This window comes from Homo sapiens, chromosome 1 (genome assembly GCF_000001405.40).
Source record: "Homo sapiens chromosome 1, GRCh38.p14 Primary Assembly".
In the NCBI taxonomy this organism is placed as follows: domain Eukaryota; kingdom Metazoa; phylum Chordata; class Mammalia; order Primates; family Hominidae; genus Homo; species Homo sapiens.
In genome coordinates this window covers 90,519,515-90,538,655 of record NC_000001.11, presented here as the reverse complement: position 1 = coordinate 90,538,655, position 19,141 = coordinate 90,519,515, and the positions used below count along the sequence as shown (strand labels likewise).

Here is a 19,141-nt window from a genome sequence, read left to right as displayed (position 1 = left end):
GCACAATGTTCTCTGGATTGATTTCTCTGTTTACCAGAATTTAGCTGTTTTCAAATAAGGATTTTTAGCCAGATGTCATCTATGCAACTTTTTCATGTTCTAAGAATTAGCATTTAATCTCTTTTTGGCTGAAATTTAGTTAGTGATGTTGACACCTCTGCATTTTAACACTGGGATTTCTTTGTGGGACACAATTCCTTTCAATCAACTTAGTATCCCATCTTGGTCTCTAAGAGACAATAATTGAGTTTAGGTTAGTTTTAAATAGCGATAAGGACAGGGAACACAGATGGGTATTTCATTGATTAACACTAACCCTGGCCTAAGGCCCCAGTGTCAGGCATTAGATTAGGACATTACGAAGAGAATGACGGAGTTTTGGTACTTTATTCCTCTCAATAACATTCTTTCACATATTAAGTTTATCCCCCCCTAGGTAGCTACTTTATCATGCAGAAGGCCTTAATCCACTGATGTGACTCTCTCTGCTCTCACTTTGATGAAGCCTCTGTTTACAAGAGTAATGCAGCCTGTGTAAGACAAAGTACTTGGGACAAGGACAACTGAATAAGGCTTTTAGATGCACAGTGATCCGACCTAAAAACAAAACAAAACCCACTTTGCACACACACTTGCACACACACACAAATCCACAGACACACACACACATACACACAAACACCAACAAAACAGACTTTTTGGAAATGCAGTTATGACGCTTGCATCCTGAAGAATCAGACGTTAGGATTTCATCAAGAAGACCCTATGTTACTGATCTCCTTGTTTGGCACTTTATCTTTTCTTCACCTTTGACCTTCCTTTCAGGCCCTCTTCAAGGCATCGTGAACGTAAGCCCTTGTGGTGTTCTTTTAGAAGTAGGATTGCTGCCATCCCCTCTGGTGAATATAAGCAGCTGCCGGAATCAGTGACAAGGTTGGGTACAGATTTGGTATCCTGGCTGGGAAAGAGATTATGGGTCAGTCCCCAGTGCTGGGATACAATAGATTCAAGCAGTTCAGGATTTTTTGGATATCCGAAAAAGATTTCATGAAATTTGTAAAGATCTAACAGTGTATTGCAGATTTCATGTGGTCTAAACAGCTTATACTAAGTAAAACTCTCGGTAGTCAGTAAATGGTGTTTTCACAGCCATGCAATTTTAACTGCTCTGGAAGAGTTTAATTTCACCAAATTGTGTGGTTGCTGAATGAAGCAGGTGGCCTCTTATATTTAGATGCTTTATCTGTTAAAGGGTATTCTAACTTTAGAGAGTTCTTTCTTACTCTATGAAGATTTACATGTTCACTCTAGTAAATTTAGATTATTAGACAATGCCTTTTTAATTCTTTAGAGCACCAGCAAGTTACAAAGTTAGATATTATAGAAAGTCTGATTTATATATGATATATACAATGACAGTATTTTTTGGTAAGTTATGAGGTTAGATAGAATAGAAAGTCAGATATATACACATACATGTACAAAATATATATTAAATGTATGTATATATATAAAGAATACTTTTTCACATAAAAGTAGGCAATACAATAAAATACTTCTGTTTAGTCCTTTGTCATCATTTCATCTTTCACCAAAATCTCAAGAGAAAATGTTTAGAATTTACCTAGGGTTGAGAGTTTTTAAAAAATTTTCTTTTTGTTTATAATGTGATTACAAAGAAAGATGTATTATAATTACATATGGAATTTGTAAATTTCTAAAATTCAAAGTGCAGTTCACCAGAAACTTCAACATTTTGATGGGAGAGAATTCTGTATATTCCTTGTAGTCTTTCCTTTTTTATTTTTTTCACCTACTTTTCCTGCAAAACCTTGGAATAGGAAGCCATGATGGCATTGTACAGTGATCCCTGTTTGTTATAGAGGGTAATGCATAAACCAAAAACAGGAAAAGCCCATTTTAAAAATATAGAACATCTGGCCTCACCAGTGTATGTCCCACATCTGAGCCTGTTGCATGGACCAAGAGCAAGCCCTCTGGCACTGACTTAGGACTGTCGCTGCAGGAAGGGGCACATCCATGTTTACCCAATGCCCGTAAGGTGTGTAGTTGCTGTCATAAAGCAGGCTCATTCAGTGGAGCAGGACGAACAAGGAGAGTGGCACATTTTAGCTTTCCAGAGCTGGTAGTATGTTTTGGAGGCAAACAGTGCTGGTTCATACTACTCCTTTCCCAATTAATTGGACCCCTATTAATACATTAGTTTGACTTAATTCACAAAAATTCATTGAGATCACAGCACTATCAAACAATATGTACTGCCCACACACGGAAACCAAATCGTGAGCTTCTTTCAAAGAACATCACCTCATTTGGGCCAAGGCATATTAAACCAGATAATTACAAAACTTCAAGAAATCCTAAAGACCCTCTGATTTTGTGGTTCCCAAATTTTTATCCATCAAGACTTCTTTTTATTATTTTTTCTGTATGGTATATTTACCCATGAGTCTGGTTTCCATTAGTTTACAAAATAAGTCCAAATAATTCCAGAATAGTAATCTATCTGGGGGAGATTCCTAGAGATTTTTTTGGCTTCAGTTTGGGAACCTATGATCCTGTGTGTTCTCATTATGTTAATGAAGGAGCTGAGCTTACCTGAGTTTTGCCTCCCCAACAACATAGAGTTAGTTTGAAGCAGATTTGAAACCAGGTTCTGGGTAAAACTGAATTGGCTAATAAGTCTAAAGAAAGTTTTTTAGAGAACAAGTGAAAAGTGTGGCAATAGTTCTTCACCTCTGGAGTAGTAGAATCGTCTGAGGGAAATGTGTTTTTATATACAATTAACCTTTCCTTTTACATGTTGTTGGGAAACTCCTAAGAACTAAATTCTCACACCAACAATTACAACAAACAAAAGCATTACGGGCGATCGCCTCTCTTTAACACTTTCACATGACTTTCATCATTATGAAGATTGGCTTTTATGATATTCATATGAGTTTGACCTGAGCCAACAAAAGCCAGGGAAATCGATTAGAGAGGAAAATTCAGCCTTAAATCTTACGTTCCTGTGGGCTGCCTATAGCCTCTCGTCAGTCAGGAGTGTGTATGTGGCTCATCTGTGACACAATTCTGAAATAAAATGAGGCGAATGCAGAAGCTCAATTCCTAAGAAAGAAAGAAAAGTGTCCCTTTGGTCCATTCAAGTTACCACCTAAGCTAGGGCTTTCATGCCCTTTAAGTCCCAAATGAAAAGTAGTTATAATGAGGCAAAAATCTGATAGGGAAAATGAGGCAGTTGGCTTGAATTCCTCTGTTAGATTTTTTTTTTTTTTTAATAATAATTTGCTCATCTCATGCTGGTGGATTTGGTCTCTTGCATTCTCTGGCAGTCAAGGAAAAGTTAGCTCAAGTTTTGCTCCCTCTGCCATTAACAGATGGCACGCAGATCTAAGCATAAGCTGTGGCTCCCGGGCCACAGGCAAAGGGTGAGGGCTGCTCCCCTGTGGACACCCTCAAAAGGCCCTAAGCTTGAGTAGCACAAATGAAAAGGTCTAGTGCTGGTGTTAATTACGCAGAAACCACACAGAAAGTGCTGGCTGTTACTGAGTTGAGAGGTTGGGCATCTCTTCTTCCCCAGATAAAAGGCTTGATATGAAAACATTTTGCAGAGGACAATGAAGTGAAGATTAGCATAATCTTCTGCAGTATCCTCAGTAAGCTATCCATGAGTGAGTTGCTTTTTTCTCATTCCTTCGGCTCTAATGTCTGGATTTAAGGAATGGTATTGTTAAGAGCAGGCTTTGTCCTTGGAGCCTGACAGTTGTGTTTTTCCCGCCTTCATGTGATCATCCCAGTTGCTAGTCTCCTGCTCTTCGGGGAGGCAGACAATGGAAGGAAAAATGAAGTGTCAGTTCATTGACAAAACCTCTCTGTGCTATGTTATTCTTAATCCAGACTCTTCAGGGTTTTTTTCTTTTCTTTTCTTTCTTTTTTTTTTTTTTTAAACATTCTCTCATCCATGCTCTCTGAATAGAGGAAAGTCCCTTTAATATCAGCCTGAGGAAAATGTAGAGCAAGTAACACTGAACTTTGAGGTTTAGGCAGCTTTAAATTAAAAAACAAAATCAAATTGTATTGTTGTCTCTGTACTTCAGTCAGAACATTAAACTGCTGTTGTTACATTTTATGTCAAAATGCGAGTAGCTGTTAAAATGGTTATTCAGATATATGCAACTGAAAGCCGTGAGTGTTGAGGTTTTTCATGAGAAGAATTTAACCACTTGTACAATGCAGCTTATTGCAGTTCTCTCGGGGGCTGGTCTGGTGGCTAATGCACTAGTTTGTTGGCCACTTTGATCCTGGCTGCCCTGTTTTAAGTCTTGCTATGACTGGTTAAGCTAGTGCTCTGTAACCCCGGGGATAACTTGAGGGTTCTGAAAGTCATGAGGCACGGTCCCCAAGATCAAAATATAAAAATAGGTCTGGGGTCAGGGAACTCAACAGGCCCTGGAAGCTCTTCACTTTTACAGCTGGAGATGGTCTCTTATGTATTTAGAATTCGTCATTAGGATTCTGACAAAGAACTGCAGTATGGGATTGCTGCAGGGCAGGCTGTTTGAATCTTACTCTTGATAACAAAAAAAACCCCAACTTCTGGCTGCTGACAGGAGACAAGGTGAGTACAAGAAACGCATTGAAAAGCAGCGTATGTCTATTGATGGCTGAAGAAGGGTTAGAATGGCTGAGTTTTGAATTTGGGTGAAAACCCCAGAGTTTATTTATTATACCAGATGAATTTGGGGATTCTCCAGTGGTTTTTAAAGGCCTGGAGAGCCTATTACTATGGATATCTTAAAAGCCTGTGTCAGACGATTTGTTGACCTTTCCCAAGTTCTACTACTGCCAATTTTGACATAGATTTCATTCCCGATCTAGACTGCCTACTTGTTGTACTGCCCAGGTCATGCAGAAAATTGGTGTTTACATCAGACTTACCTAAGATTTTCTTCCCTAATACAAATGACTTGAATACATCTCATTTTCTTCCAGAGAGATAGCTCCCTCCACTTCAGTCTATAATACAAACGAAGATCAGCCATTTGTTGCATCCGAGGTAAACTGGCCTGGATTTGTGGTCTGAGTTCACCATATTTCCACAGTATGACATTGAAGAAGAAAGGAATTTTACTTGTCACTTGATAGTTATTGTCTCATGACACTAAGCTATGACTTGGAGACAAAGGCCAAGTCAAGCCCCACTGTGAGATTCAATGATTCCTTGGTGGAGAAAGAAGCATTTGATGTGGAGCCTGACACACCTGGTAAGTCCCCGCTCTGCCTCTTAGTGACTTGGTGGTTGATCTTCCATGATCATTGTTCTTTCATCTGTGCAATAACCATCTCAGTGGCAACTCTACCGTTCTATTGAGAGGATTCAAGGCAGTTGTGTATTTTAGAGCAATTTGAGAACTGTAAATCCCGATATCTATGTGAGGTATCATTATGACACTTTCAGAAAGTTTCCCATTAAGCATTTATTCATTCAGCAAACATGTATTGAACACTATGTTCAAGACTGTGGGCCTTAGGGGATTGCCAACAATACATAGTTCTTGTCCTTAAGGAAGTCACATTTTAGCTGGAGGTAGGAAAAAAAAAAACCCAAACACTTGTAACAGAGACTACAATAAGTTTAAGAAACTCTATCCCTTCCAACAAGTTGAAGACAGTTGGAAACTCTGTCCCTTCCAACAAGTTGAAGACAGTGCAGTGTACATATTAGACTGAGTGTGCTGTACACTGCACTATGCTGAATATTTTGGTGGGGGTGGTGAACTACTGAGAAGTATGATAATCTGTTTGGAAACATAAGACATAAAATGAACTCGTCTACCTGCTAATATGAGACAATAAAAGATAAGTGCCAAATGAACAACGTGCATAATAAATTCAAAGGAGAAAGCCATAATTCCTAGAGAAGATAAGATTTGAGTATGAGAACTCTTTGACCTTCCATAAGACTTCATTTTTATCTCCTTAAGGCATTTACCTCTGTCTACCGTATATTATTGTAATAACTATTATCATTATTACTGCTCCTAGTAAGCTCCCGAAAGCAGGTCCTTATCTTATTCTTTCTTTTTTAATCTTCCATAATACTTAGGAAATGCCTAGCACAGAGTGGAAACACAAATAATATTTGTTCAGTGAATGAATATAGGTTAGAGGGGTGATTTAATAGTGCGCTGGTAGGGATACTGGCTATTGTATTTCTGTTTGCATACCCCCAAATAATTTCTGGTTTGCCTCTGTATCTCTCAGTGTATCCAGTGGTGTTGAATGAGTAAGCACATGAATTTTGAATGAATACACCTGGAACATCTTTCTCTTCCCAGCCTAGTCAAATGCCTTGCCCACAGTATTTTAAAATCTTTTAAAATCCCACTCCTCAGTGAAACCTTTGTCCCTGGATTTAGGAAAGTGCTCATATCCCTCTCTTTCCTATCCCTACCCAATCCCCATAGAAAGCAACAAGAAACTAGTTCTGTTGCTTTTTCTGTTTTCCTATTCTCCAAGAAAATTCTTCTGAGGTTATTATCTCTAACCTCTATTCTAATAATCTACTTTTCCTAGTTTCATCTCTAAAATAATTTTAGAATTTATTTACTTTGCCTAACTAGATATTTTTTTTATGCTGATTCACTTTTTATTTAATCAAAATGACTGAGGCCTCAGCCTAAAGTTTAAATCAGAGTTGAAATTCCCAATTCTTGGTCCCTCTGTCTAGAGCTCCACACACCTATGGGTCTTCCAACTTCAAACTTCAAGTTGTTAGTTAAATATTAGTGTCTCAGTGAGACCTTTCCTGATGACTTATTTAAAAAATAATCTCTGTATTCCCTTTATTTGCTTTATTTATCTCCACAGCACTTATCACTTTCAATAAGCAATTTAATTTATTTATTTATTTGGTTCATTTTCTATCTCCTGCTCTAGAAAGTGAGCTCCATAGGGCAAGGATTTTTGTCTACTTTGCTCACCACTGTATCCCAAGGGCCTATCTCATAGTAAGTTTACAATAATTATCTATTTAATAACTGAATAAATGGGGTAACTCTTCTGTCTTCTGTTGAGAGATGGCTTCTCCGAAGATTGATTTCTTGTCTTGCACTCTGCTTGTCAGTGTGATTGATAAAGCAGGCACCCCTGAATAACCTGTGGGCACTGATACTATCAGTTGTTTAAGATGAAGCTCGTAGTTCAGGATGCTTCTGATTATAGTTCACTTATGGGCCTAGATATTTTTGTAATGGACCAATGTCTCCATCTTAGAGCTTTTTGTCTATACAGTGTGTTGCCTGGAGATTCCAAGTTCTTAGAAGGCAGTCACTGGCCCATGCAATTTACTTATGATAACATAAGCTCAGTGCTTAGTGCAGCTAGAAATTTAATAAATGTGTATTGATAATAAACTGAGTCATTTAATAATTCTTTCTGAACATTTTGAGAATGTTAAACTAATGACATGATTGTAGCTTGAAAAGTTTGATAATTTTGTCTGGTTCCTTTTTTGCTTGAAATATACTATGGCATGGGCAGTATGAGCAATTGACAATACTATAATGTTCTTTTTATTTGTGAATGGGAAGTTGCTGGAATATTGCAGGTGTAGATGGCATGTTAATGGCATAGTATCTTCTAGAATTATTTTGGAATGGTTTGTTGAGATGGTTTGTTATTCTCCTATTTATTTACTCCTTTGGGTTACTCCGCATGACCAAGCTGAAACAGAATGGCAGGCTGGGAATGACTAATGTAAACAATTCATGCCAGTCAGTGGCCTGTGGTGGCTGTTCACTTGGAGCTCAATAACACTTTTCTTTGAGTGCCACTGCTCTGCTCCAACAAAGTTGGCTTCATCTCACCCTTTGTTATCCCACTAATATAAAAATGTCTCTCTTTGTATGTCTGTTATCTTGTGTCTAGGACACTGTCTTTTATCAGATTTTATTTTCTGGAAAGTTCTAAGCTGCCAATGCTATATGTTAATATCAGTGCTAAATAATGGTTATTGAGGTCTCAAACAGTGAACATCTTTGCAGAAGGGAGGGGAAGAAATATCTAGCACAGCTGCTTCCGAATTCCCTGGCTGGTCTGAGAACTGTGTGAAGCTGTGATGGAACCCCCTGGAGATGTTCTGCAGCTCCAGGCCTCACTTCACAGACTCACTGCAGGGTAAGTAGAAAGTAGTTCTGAAGTCCAAATAGGATGGTAGGGTGATGTTTGTTTGTGAGAAAGAAAAGCAGAGTTATGCAATAGACAAAGGAAGAGAGAAAAGAAATAATGCTGTAAAAAGAGGACCATGGGAGAGCACAGACATTCCTGAAAAACCTTCATAGAGTCATTAATGAGGTGGGTGTCTAGGAATATAAAGTGTCTACAGGGCACTAGGGGACTACTGTTCTTGGCCTAGAGGCAATGGGGACTGAACCACAGGAATTTTCGATACTATTAAAAAGAAGCGAAAGCCAGAAGGATCAAAACACCACCCTATAATAGATGATAAGCAATTTCTACTTATCTGCTTTGCGTAGAAACCCAAAAGCCAATGTGGAAATCTGGCTTTTTGGAACTGCTCAGGGAGGTGATGTTATAAACCTGTGTACATTGTCAGCTGTGCCTCTGCCACACATTGTCTTTTGGGATTTAAGTTTTGCCTCACACAATCCCTAGGGGTTAAGTTTATCCTCAAAATGTGGGTGAGTTTATTAACTTCATTGTATTAAGGGATTCTAAAGTAAATTGATGGTGGTGATGGAGGATGTTTTTTAAAATTTTAATGAAAAACTCAAACAATATTCTAACTTAAAAAAAAAACAGACTTATTAAGCAAACTGAGTGAATGGTTAGTTCAAAACATTGATCTCTGAGGGCAGGGGCTATCCCTGATTTTTGTACTCCTAGCATGGAACACAGGCCAACACAAAAAAGGTGTCCAAATACATGCTCAATGATTTACATCAAATCTGTCCACCTTGAATTTAAAGGAAAAATACTGAGAGGAAAGTAATCTGAGGTCTCAAACAGTGAACATCTTTGAGGAAAGGAGGGGAACAAATATCTAGCACAACTGCTTCCAAATTCCCTGGCTGGTTTGAGAACTCGGTGAAGCTGTGCTGAAACCTTCAGGAGATGTTCTGCAACACCAGGCCTTGCTTCACAGACTTGCTGCACAAAAACACTGAGAGGAAAAGTGATCTGACCTGTAGTCTATTTGCTTTGGTGAAAAGTATGGTAAACAAGTGTTACCCAGTGCTTATTAGCATTTGAATCATTTGGAGCTTATGTCCAGTGAGGGTGGAAGAGGCAGTTGTCTTGAAAGCATGACGTGATCAGAGGGTCCCCTGCCCTATTGTTTGAAATTCTCACCTTTAAATCCATGCCTTTGAGATAAGGCATAGATTTTAGAAAGCTTTTATTAAAATGCACATATGTTACCTAGAATGGGAAACAAATTAACCTGTGCATACGCTGTACATAAAAATGCCTTAGCAATTGTCAGATTAAGAAGCAGAGGGCAATTCCTTGCTTGAGCAGGACCCAAGTCAGTTTTGTTCGGAGGCTATGGGTGCGGGAAGGAGACATGAAATGTAAGGTACCATCCATCTTATAAGCTGTGGCATTAAGCAACCAGGATACAGAACTAGATAGCAAAAGGGATACCTTGGAGATCATGGCCCTCAGGTTCTGTTTTCTCTTTTTGATGCTGCACAACTGTGATGTTGGCCTTGTAACATGAATTCTCGGAACCTAACAGAGTTGTTCCTAATAATCTACCACTTTTTATCTTGTTTGTATAACATTCAATAATTTTGGCTTTTCGGATAGAGTAATGGTGGAGGAGTTAAGACCAGTGGCCAGTCAACACGATTCCAGTCAAATTGATTGTGTGTTGTTCTCGGTGAACTATGTCTTTTTGTTTTGGTGAAATATAATGGAAAAAAGCTGTTGTAACACCTATTACAATGTTTCCAGAGTGACCCAGCAGGAGGAAAACCACTCAGGAGAGAAAGATTGGAATGTAGAGACAAAATAGCTGGGTCTAAGAAGGGTCGTGGAAAAATGGGGGAAAAGGAGCTAACTATATCAATTATATGAAAATCCTAGTGCCTCTATTGGACTTCAGATTTCCTACTCTGGATGAATTGTCACCATTTAGTAGTCCACCACCCTGTGCAAGCGGCAGCAGGGGAGGATATGGCTTGGCCCTGAGACATGGACAGTTAAGACCATATATTCTCTGAACATTTAAAGAATTCTGGAGTCAGTCATAATCAGCCTGAAAGCTGAAAGATTATGTTTTCTCCCAACTCACACTACTCTTGAGGTCTAATGGACTTGTACAGACAAATTAAAAAGTGAGTGCTTCCTCTGCCACAGATTGCTTTACCTGCGGAGGGGTAGAAGTAGGAGTCATGTGAGAAAGTATTCATTGAGCATCTCTGCAGCTTTGTGTTACGGGGAAATGCAGGTGTCTCACTGCTCTCATGTTAAGGTGGTGTGATAACAGGGAAAGAGCAACAGACCTGGAGCCCAAGATGGGCGTAGATTCTCAGCTCTCTGCTTAATGAATACTGATGCATAAATGAAATCTCCAGGCTCGATTTCTTCATCTGTGAAATCAAGGGTTCTATATGATATATCTACCTCAATAGGCCATTTTAGAGATAAAATGAGATAGTATTAAAATGATGAAATATACAACTATAGTATTTTTTATTTGTAAGACATATGCACGAAACAATAACCAATACTTTTCATACAGTGTGTGTGATTAAATATTTTGCTGCAGTTGGGTATGGTTGTAAGTGCAGTAGGAGATCAGAATAAGGAGAAGTTGGTGTATATTGTAGTGGCCAGTGAAGTTTTGGATTTGTTTCCATTGTGCTACCTGCACTTATTCATTCCTCATCTTTCTGAATGTCTCCTTACCCTTGAACAAAGCAGACTTAGTTAGCTCTGGCTGCCTTTGTTCCCTGACAGTAGTTAAAGCTTCAATTAGGCTGGTATCCATTGAAAGTTGACATACCCATTTCTTTTACGTATTTGTACAGACATAGAAGCAAGCCTGTATTTGGGTTGTGTTTTGGCAGGGTTTGAAGTCATGTTCAAAGATCTAAAAAAATTGAATGACTGAGGACACAGACTAGAATTCTAACCTTCAGTTTATGTGCAAAATCAAAAACATGCAAAGTTTGTGGTATCTGAGCTTCATCTGATCGTTCGTACATGAAAGTATAAAAAGAAGGCCCAGAAGTAGGAGTCTTGTCAGTTTGAATGTTAGTTAAATAAGTACATAAGATAAACAGTTCATGGAAGGTTATGCAGCTGAATTTTCAATCAGGATGCACATGAGACTAGTGCACTACCATCTCCTGGTAATCAGAGCCTATTGGATTTTTTGCACATCCTACTTATATAGACAAGGTTGTGAGTTTAATGTTGTGAGCTTTAATATGCCCATGCCTTCCTCCCTCTGAAACATTGTTAGATCTGCCAACTCAAACCCCACTTTCCTCCAGCTTAACATTGTTTAAGAGGAAGTTAACAACACCTAAATTTAGTCATCTCTCCACTCCCTAGATATTGTCTCTGTGACAAATTTTCCTTTGAGTGCTGGAACTGGGTAGATTTCTTGGACATTTCTTATCTTTTTAGGGAGAAGAGGGATTAAATCCTGAAGTGAAGATTCCTACTGGGCTTGAAGTAAGAAGGGAAGCTGGGCTCTGGGGCACTGTTGACTAAATGTGGGGAGTCTTCAGAATTTTTCCAAATAGCAGTTTGTGTACCTATCTTATGCTCTGTGAAATAAGAACAGGGGTCCTGACTATAACTGTGTACATAAATTTTCTGAATTTTAGATAGTAGGTACTCTGCAAATGTTTGTGTCATGGGACAGACAATATGGATAGTGGGTAAAAGCAAGGGCTTGAGAGTCAAACAGACCCAGATTTAAATCCTGGTTTTGCCATTTGCTTGTTGCATGACTCTGGAAAAGTCATTTCACCTCTTTGAGTTTACGATTTCCATTTTATTGAGGAAGCCACATAAGGCCTACCATTTATGGCTGTTGTGAGAGTTAAATGTGACATTGGTAAAGGGCTTTGATAAATTCCTGCTTGTCAGAGTCAGCACTCAATAAATGGCAACTTATTGCCATCATCTGTACCATCATAATCACAAATAAATAAATAATTCTAGCCTCCTGCATTTTCTCAGTCTTAATTTGAGCTCTTCACCATTGCCCTGACAGTGTTATCTACAGGAACTTCGTTTTCTGGGAGTCTGTGCTGATTGCAGAGGGCATGGACTGAGGTCTCAGTGACTCTGACAGCTGCCTTGTTCAGTTAAATCCTTTTTCCTACCTCTGGCTTTTCCACTCATATAGTTGTTTGTATCTGTTTTTCTTTTTCACTCAGCATAGTGTTTTTTTTTAATTTTAAATGAATACAAAATGTTTGCACATATTTATGGGGTACGTATGCTATTTTGTTACATGCATAGAATGTGTAATGGTCAAGTTGATATTTAGAGTATTTATCACCTTGATCATGTATCATTTCTATATGTTGGGAATATTTAAAGTCCTCTCTTTTAGCTATTTTGAAATGCAAAATGCATTGCTGTTAACTATAGTCACACTACCATACTATCAAACATTAGAACTCATTTCTTCTATCTAACTGTATGTTTATACCCATTAACCAAACTCTCATTATCTCTCCACTGCCCTGCCCCTGGCTCCCCACACCTACACCATTCCCAGTGTTTGGTAGCTGACATTCTACTCTCTTTCCTCCATGCGATCAGCTTTTTTTTTTCTCCCACATATGAGACAAAACATGAACTATTTGTCTTTCCATGTCTAGTTTATTTCAATTGACATAATGGCCTCAAGTTCCATCTATGTTGCTGCAAATGACAGAATTTCATTCTTTTAATGGCTGAATAATATTCCATTGTGTATATATTCCACATTTTCTGTTTTTATTTTTTATTTTAGGTTCAGGGGTACATGTATAGGTTTGTTATATAAGTAAACTCATGTCATGGGGGTTTGTTTTACAGATTATTTCATCACCCAGGTACTGAGCCTAGCACCCAATAGGTATTTTCCCTGCTCCTCTCCTTCCCTTCCTCCTCCCACCCTCCACCCTCAATTAGGCCCCAATTTCTGTTGTTCCGTTCATTGTGTCCATGAGTTCTCATCATTTAGCTCCCATTTACAAGTGAGAACATGTGGTATTTGGTTTTCTGTTCCTGCACTAGTTTGCTAAGGATAATGGCCTCCAGCTCTATTTATCTTCTCACAAAAGACACAATCTTGTTCTTTTTTATGGCTTCATAGTATTCCATGGTGTACATGTACCACATTTTCTTTATCCAGTCTGTCACTGATGGGCATTTAGGTTGATTCCATGTCTTTGCCATTGTGAATAGTGCTGCAATGAACATTTGTATATGTGTCTTTATAGTAGAATGACTTATATTCTTCTCAGTATAAGTAACGGGATTGCTGGGTCAAATGGTAGTTCTGTTTTTAGCTCTTTGAGGAATTACCACACTGCTTTCCACAAAGGTTTAACTAATTTACACTCCCACCAACGGTGTATAAATGTTCCCTTTTCTCTGCAACCTCACCAGCATCTGTTATTTTTTGATTTTTTAATAATGGCCATTCTGACTGATGTGAAATGGTATCTCATTTGATTTGCATTTCTCTAATGATCAGTGATATTGAGCTTTTTAATATATGCTTGTTGGCCATGTGTATGTCTTCTTTTGAAAAGTGTCTGTTTATGTCCTTTGTCCACTTTTCAATGGGGTTTTTTTTCTTGTAAATTTGTTTAAATTCCTTATAGATGCTGGATATTAGAACTTTGTCAGATGCATAGTTTGCAAATATTTTCCCCCATTTTGTTGGTTGTCTATTTAGTCTGTTGATGGTTTCTTTTGCTGTGCAGAAGCTCTTAAGTTTAATTAGATCCCATTTATCAATTTTTGCCTTTGTTGCCATTGCTTTTGGCATCTTTGTCATGAAATCTTTGCCCATTCCTGTGTCCAAAATGGTATAATCTAGGTTGTCTTCCGGGGTTTTTATAGTTTTGAGTTTCACATTTAAGTCTTTATTCATCTTGAGTTGATTTTCATATATGGTGTAAAGAAGGGGTCCAGTTTCAGTCTTCTGCACTTGGCTAGCCAGTTATCCCAGCACCATTTACTGAATAGGGAGTCCTTTCTTCACTGCTTATTTTTGTCAGGTTTGTCAAAGATCAGATGATCATAGACATGTAGCCTTCTTTCTGGGCTTTCTATTCTGTTCCATTGGTCTATGTGTCTGTTTTTGTACCAGTACCATGCTGTTTTGGTTACTGTAGCCCTGTAGTATAGTTTGAAGTTGGGTAGTGTGATGCCTCCAGCTTTGTTCTTTTCGCTTAGGATTGCCTTGGCTATTTGGGCTCTTTTTTGGTTCTATATGAATTTAAAAATAGTTATTTTTAGTTCTGTGGAGAACATCATTGGTAGTTTGATAGGAATAGCATTGAATCTGTAAATTGCTTTGAGCAGTATGGCCATTTTAATGATATTGATTCTTCCTATTCAGGAGCATGGAATATTCTTCCATTTGTTTGTGTCATCTCTGATTTCCTTGAGTCATGTTTTGTAATTCTCATTGTAGAGAACTTTCACCTTCCTGATTAGCTATATTCCTAGGTATTTTAATCTTTTTTATATGAACACTTAGGTTAATTCCATATATTTGCTATTCTGAATAATGCTGCAATAAACATGGGAGTGTATGTATCTTTTTGATGTACTAATTTCTTTTCCTTTGGATAAATACTCAGTAGTCAGGTTCCTGAATTGTATGGTAGTTCTATTTGTAGTTTTTTGAGAAATCTACATACTGTTTTCTATAATGGCTGTATTAATTTACATTCCCACTAACAGTGTATAAGAATTCCCTTTTCTCTGCATCTATTTTTTTTTTGTCTTTCTGATAATAGGCATTCTAACTGGGATAAGATGATATCTCATTGTGTTTTTAATTTGCATTTCCCTGATGATTAGTGATGCTGAGCATTTTTTCATATGCCGGTTTACCATTTGTATGTCTTCTTGTAAGAAATGTTTATTGAGATTCTTTGCCTACTTTTTAGCAGAATTTTTTTTGTTTTTTTTGCTGTTGAGTTGCTTGAGTTCCCTGTGTATTCTAGAAATTAGTCCCTTCTCAGATGAATATGTTGCAGATATTTTCTCCCATTCATCAGGTTGCCTCTTCGCCCTGTTGATTATTTCCTTTAGTTTAATATAGTCCCATTTGTCTATTTTGTTTTTTGTTCCTTGTGCTTTTGGGGTCTTAGCCATGGCCAGACCAGCATCCTGAAGAGTTTTTCTGTTTTCTTCTAGTAGTTTTATAGTTTTGGTTTCTACATTTAAGTCTTTAATCTATTTTGAGTTGATTTTTGTATATGGTGAGAGATAGGGCTCTAGTTTCATTCTTCTGCATATGGATATTCAGTTTTCCAAGCACTCTTTATTGAAGACTGTGTCCTATCCCTAATATAGGTTCTTGGTGCCTTTGTCGAAAATTAGTTAGCCATAAATCCATGTGTTTATTTCTGGGTTCTCTATTTTGTCCCATTGGGCTATGTGTCTGTTTTTATACCAATATCATATTGTTTGGTTACTATAGCCTGGAAATATATTTTGAAGTCAGGTAGTGTGATACCTCCACTTTTGTTCTTTTTGCTCAGAATTGCTTTGGCTATCTGGGCTCTTTTTGGATCCATATAAATTTTAGGATTATTTTTCCTATTTCTGTTAAAAATGTCATTGGCATTTTGATAGGGATTGCATTTAATCTATAGATTGCTTTGGGTAGTATGGTCATTTTAACAATAATGATTCTTCCAATCCATGAGCATAGGCTGTCTTTTGATTTGTTTGTGTCCTATGTATGTATGTATGTATGTATGTATTTATTTATTTATTTATTTATTTATTTATTTATTTATCTATCAGAGTTTTGTAGGTTTTCTTGTAGAGGTCTTCTACCTCTTTGGTTAAATTTATTCCTAGGCATTTTTTTGGTAGTTATTTTAAATGAGATTGCCTTCCTAACACCTTTTTCAGATAGTTTGTTATTTGTATTTAGAACCCTACTGATTTTTGTATGTTGAGTATGCTGATTTTATATCCTGCAACTTTACTGAATTTATTGATTAGATCAAAGAGTTTTTGGTGGATTATATAAGATTTTCTAAATATAATAAAATTATGTAATCTACAAAGATGAACAATTTGACTTTCTCTTTTCTTTCTCTTGCCCGATTGCTCTGGCTAGGACTTCCAGTACTATGACAAATAAGGGTGGTGAAGCGAGCATTCTTGCCTAGTTCCAGTTCTTAGAGAAAAGGCTTTCAACTTTTCACCACACAGTGTGATGTTAACTATGGGTTTGTGATATATGGTCTTTATTATGTTGAGGTATGTTCTTTCTCTGCCTAGTTTGTTGAGAGTTTTTATCACGAAGGGGTTTGAATTTTATCAAATGCGTTTTATGCATCTACTGAGATGATCATATTTTTTTGTCCTTCATTCTGTTGAAAACATTTATTTTTCTCTCAACATAATGATTTTGAGGTCCATCTGTGTTTTTAAGTGTAATAGCACAGTACTACATTTGTTTTTGCTATTGAGGACCACTCATGTAGAAGGCTTTGTGTGCACATAGATTTTGATTTCTTTTCTGTAGATGCAGAGCAATGGAATTACTGGGTCCTATGATAGATTTATGTTTACCTTAAAAAAACAACAACTGCCAAACTGTTTTCCAAAATGGCGATATCATTTTACATTCCCAGCAGCAATGTATGGGGTGCAGTTTCTTCACATCCTTGCTAACATTTGGCATTGTCACAGTTTTTGATTACAGCCATTTTTAATGGATGTTTAGTGGTATTCATTGTGGTTTAAATTTGTATTTGCCTAGTAACTAATGATGTTGAACATTTTTCATGTATTTATTAGCCATTTATATTTCTCTTTAATAAAATGTCTGTTCAGTTTTTTCCCCTCTTTTAAAATTGGTTTGTCTGTCTTCTTGTTATTGAGTTGCTAAAGTTCTTTATATATTCCAGGTGAAAGTCCTTTATCAGCTATAGCATTTGCGAATATTATCTGCCTATTTGTGGCTTGGCTTTTCATTTCATTAATGATGTCTTTTGGAGAACAAAAGTTTTCAGTTTTGATGAGGTCAGATTTGTCAATTTTTTTGAATGGGTTTTGCCTTTGGTATTATATTTATGAAAGCTTTATCTGCCTTAAGGTCACAAAAATTTGCCCCTATATTTTCTTTATAAGGTTTTAGTTTTAGTTATTACATTCAGGACTGAAATTCATTTTAAATTAATTTTTGTGTATGGTGCTAGGTAAAGGTGTAAGTTCTTTCTCCTCCTCCTCCTTTTCTTCCAAGAGATAAAAGTTCCTTTTTTACATATGGATAGCCAATTGTTCAGCACCATTTGTTGAAAAGACTATCCTTTCTTTATTGAATTGTCTTACTTACCATAAATGTGAAGGTTTTATATCAAGACTCTATTCTTTTCTACTGATCCATTTGTCAATATGGTATTAGCATCATTTTGCCAATACCACATTGATGTGATTACCATAACTTTATAAGTTTTGAAACCAGGCAGTTTAAGTCCCCCAGCTTTGTTCTGCTTGTTCAAAGTTGTTGTGTCTAATCTTGGTTCTCTATATTTCTACCTAAATTAAGATAGTTAATTTCTACAAGGGTTCCTGTGGGGATTTTGATAGGGATTACATTGATTTATAGATTAATTTGGGGAGAATTGCCATCTTAGCAATATTGATTTTCCGATCTATGAAAATGATATATCTCTTCATTTATTTAGGTCTATTAAAAATTTGTTAGCAATATTTTTTAGTTTTCAGGAGTTCCACTTCTTTTATTAAATATATTTCTAAGTACTTTATTCTTTTTGATGCTATTGTTAATAGAATTATTTTCTTATGTTTTAGAATTGTTATATAGGACACAATTGTTTTTTGTATATCTTGTATAAAAACTTGTATCCTGTGACCTTGCAAAACTTGCTGATTGGTTTAAGCAGATTTTAAAAATAAGTTTCTTAGGATTTTCTATACAAAATTGTGTTATCCAGGAAAGGTAATTTTACTTCTTCCATTCCAATGAGTCCTTTAATTTATTTTTCTTGCCTAACTGTACTGGCTAGAACCTTCCATACAACTTTAAATAGAAGTGGTGAGAGTAAACATTCTTGCCATGTTCCTGATCTTAGTTAGGGGGGAAAGTATTCAGTCTTTCACCATTAAGTATGATTTAACTGTACGTTTTTCATAGATAACTTTTGTAGGGTTGTAGAAACATCCTATTCCTATTTTGTTTAAAGTATTTCTTTTTCCTTTTTAATTATTACTGGGTGTTGAGTTTTGTCAAATACTTTTTCTGTGTCAATTTAAATAATCATGGTTTTTGTTCTTTATTTTATTAATATGGTATGTTAACATTAATTGATCTTGGATCTTAAGCCAATCTTTTCTTGATAACTCCTGCTTGGCTTTAGTGCATAACTTTTTTTTAATGTGTTGCTGGATTTGATGTGCTAATATTTTCTGAAGAATTTTTGCATCTATATCCATTAGGGCTATTGGTCTGTAGTTGAATTTTTTGTGATGTCTCTGTCTGGCTTTGGTATCAGGGCAATACTGGCCTCATAAAACAAGTTGAGAAATTCTCTATTTTCTGAAAGGATTGATATTATTTCTTCCTTCAATATTTTTGGAATTTAATCAGTGTAATCTGAAGTTTATATGTGTGTGTGATGGAGTGTTGAGAAGACTTCAAAATTCCTTTTTCATGTTCTTTGTTTGATATATGTGGACTCAGATATTCTATTTCTTCTGAAGACAGTTTTGGTAATTTGTGTTCTTCTAGGAAATTGTCTATTTTATTTAGTTTGTCTAATTTGTTGGAATAAAATTGTTCTCTTATAATCCTTTTTTATTTGTCATGTCTATAATGATCTCCCATTTTTTATTCCAATTTTAGTAATTTGTGTCT

At 36.6% G+C, this 19,141-nt stretch overlaps 1 long non-coding RNA gene across 3 annotated transcripts in view; it reads left to right on the top strand.

Annotated features, from left to right (window-relative positions):
• Nucleotides 1–19,141, top strand: part of LINC02787 (long intergenic non-protein coding RNA 2787) — a 35,944-nt gene that overhangs the window by 9,275 nt on the left and 7,528 nt on the right. For 2 of the 3 annotated variants that reach the window (XR_001737796.1, XR_947592.1), the window contains exons 2-4: nt 5,017–5,288; nt 6,964–7,034; nt 8,070–8,202. This is a non-coding gene — a long non-coding RNA (long intergenic non-protein coding RNA 2787). The remainder of the gene's footprint in view (nt 1–5,016; nt 5,289–6,963; nt 7,035–8,069; nt 8,203–19,141) is intronic. The other variant, XR_947593.1, reaches the window with a different exon arrangement.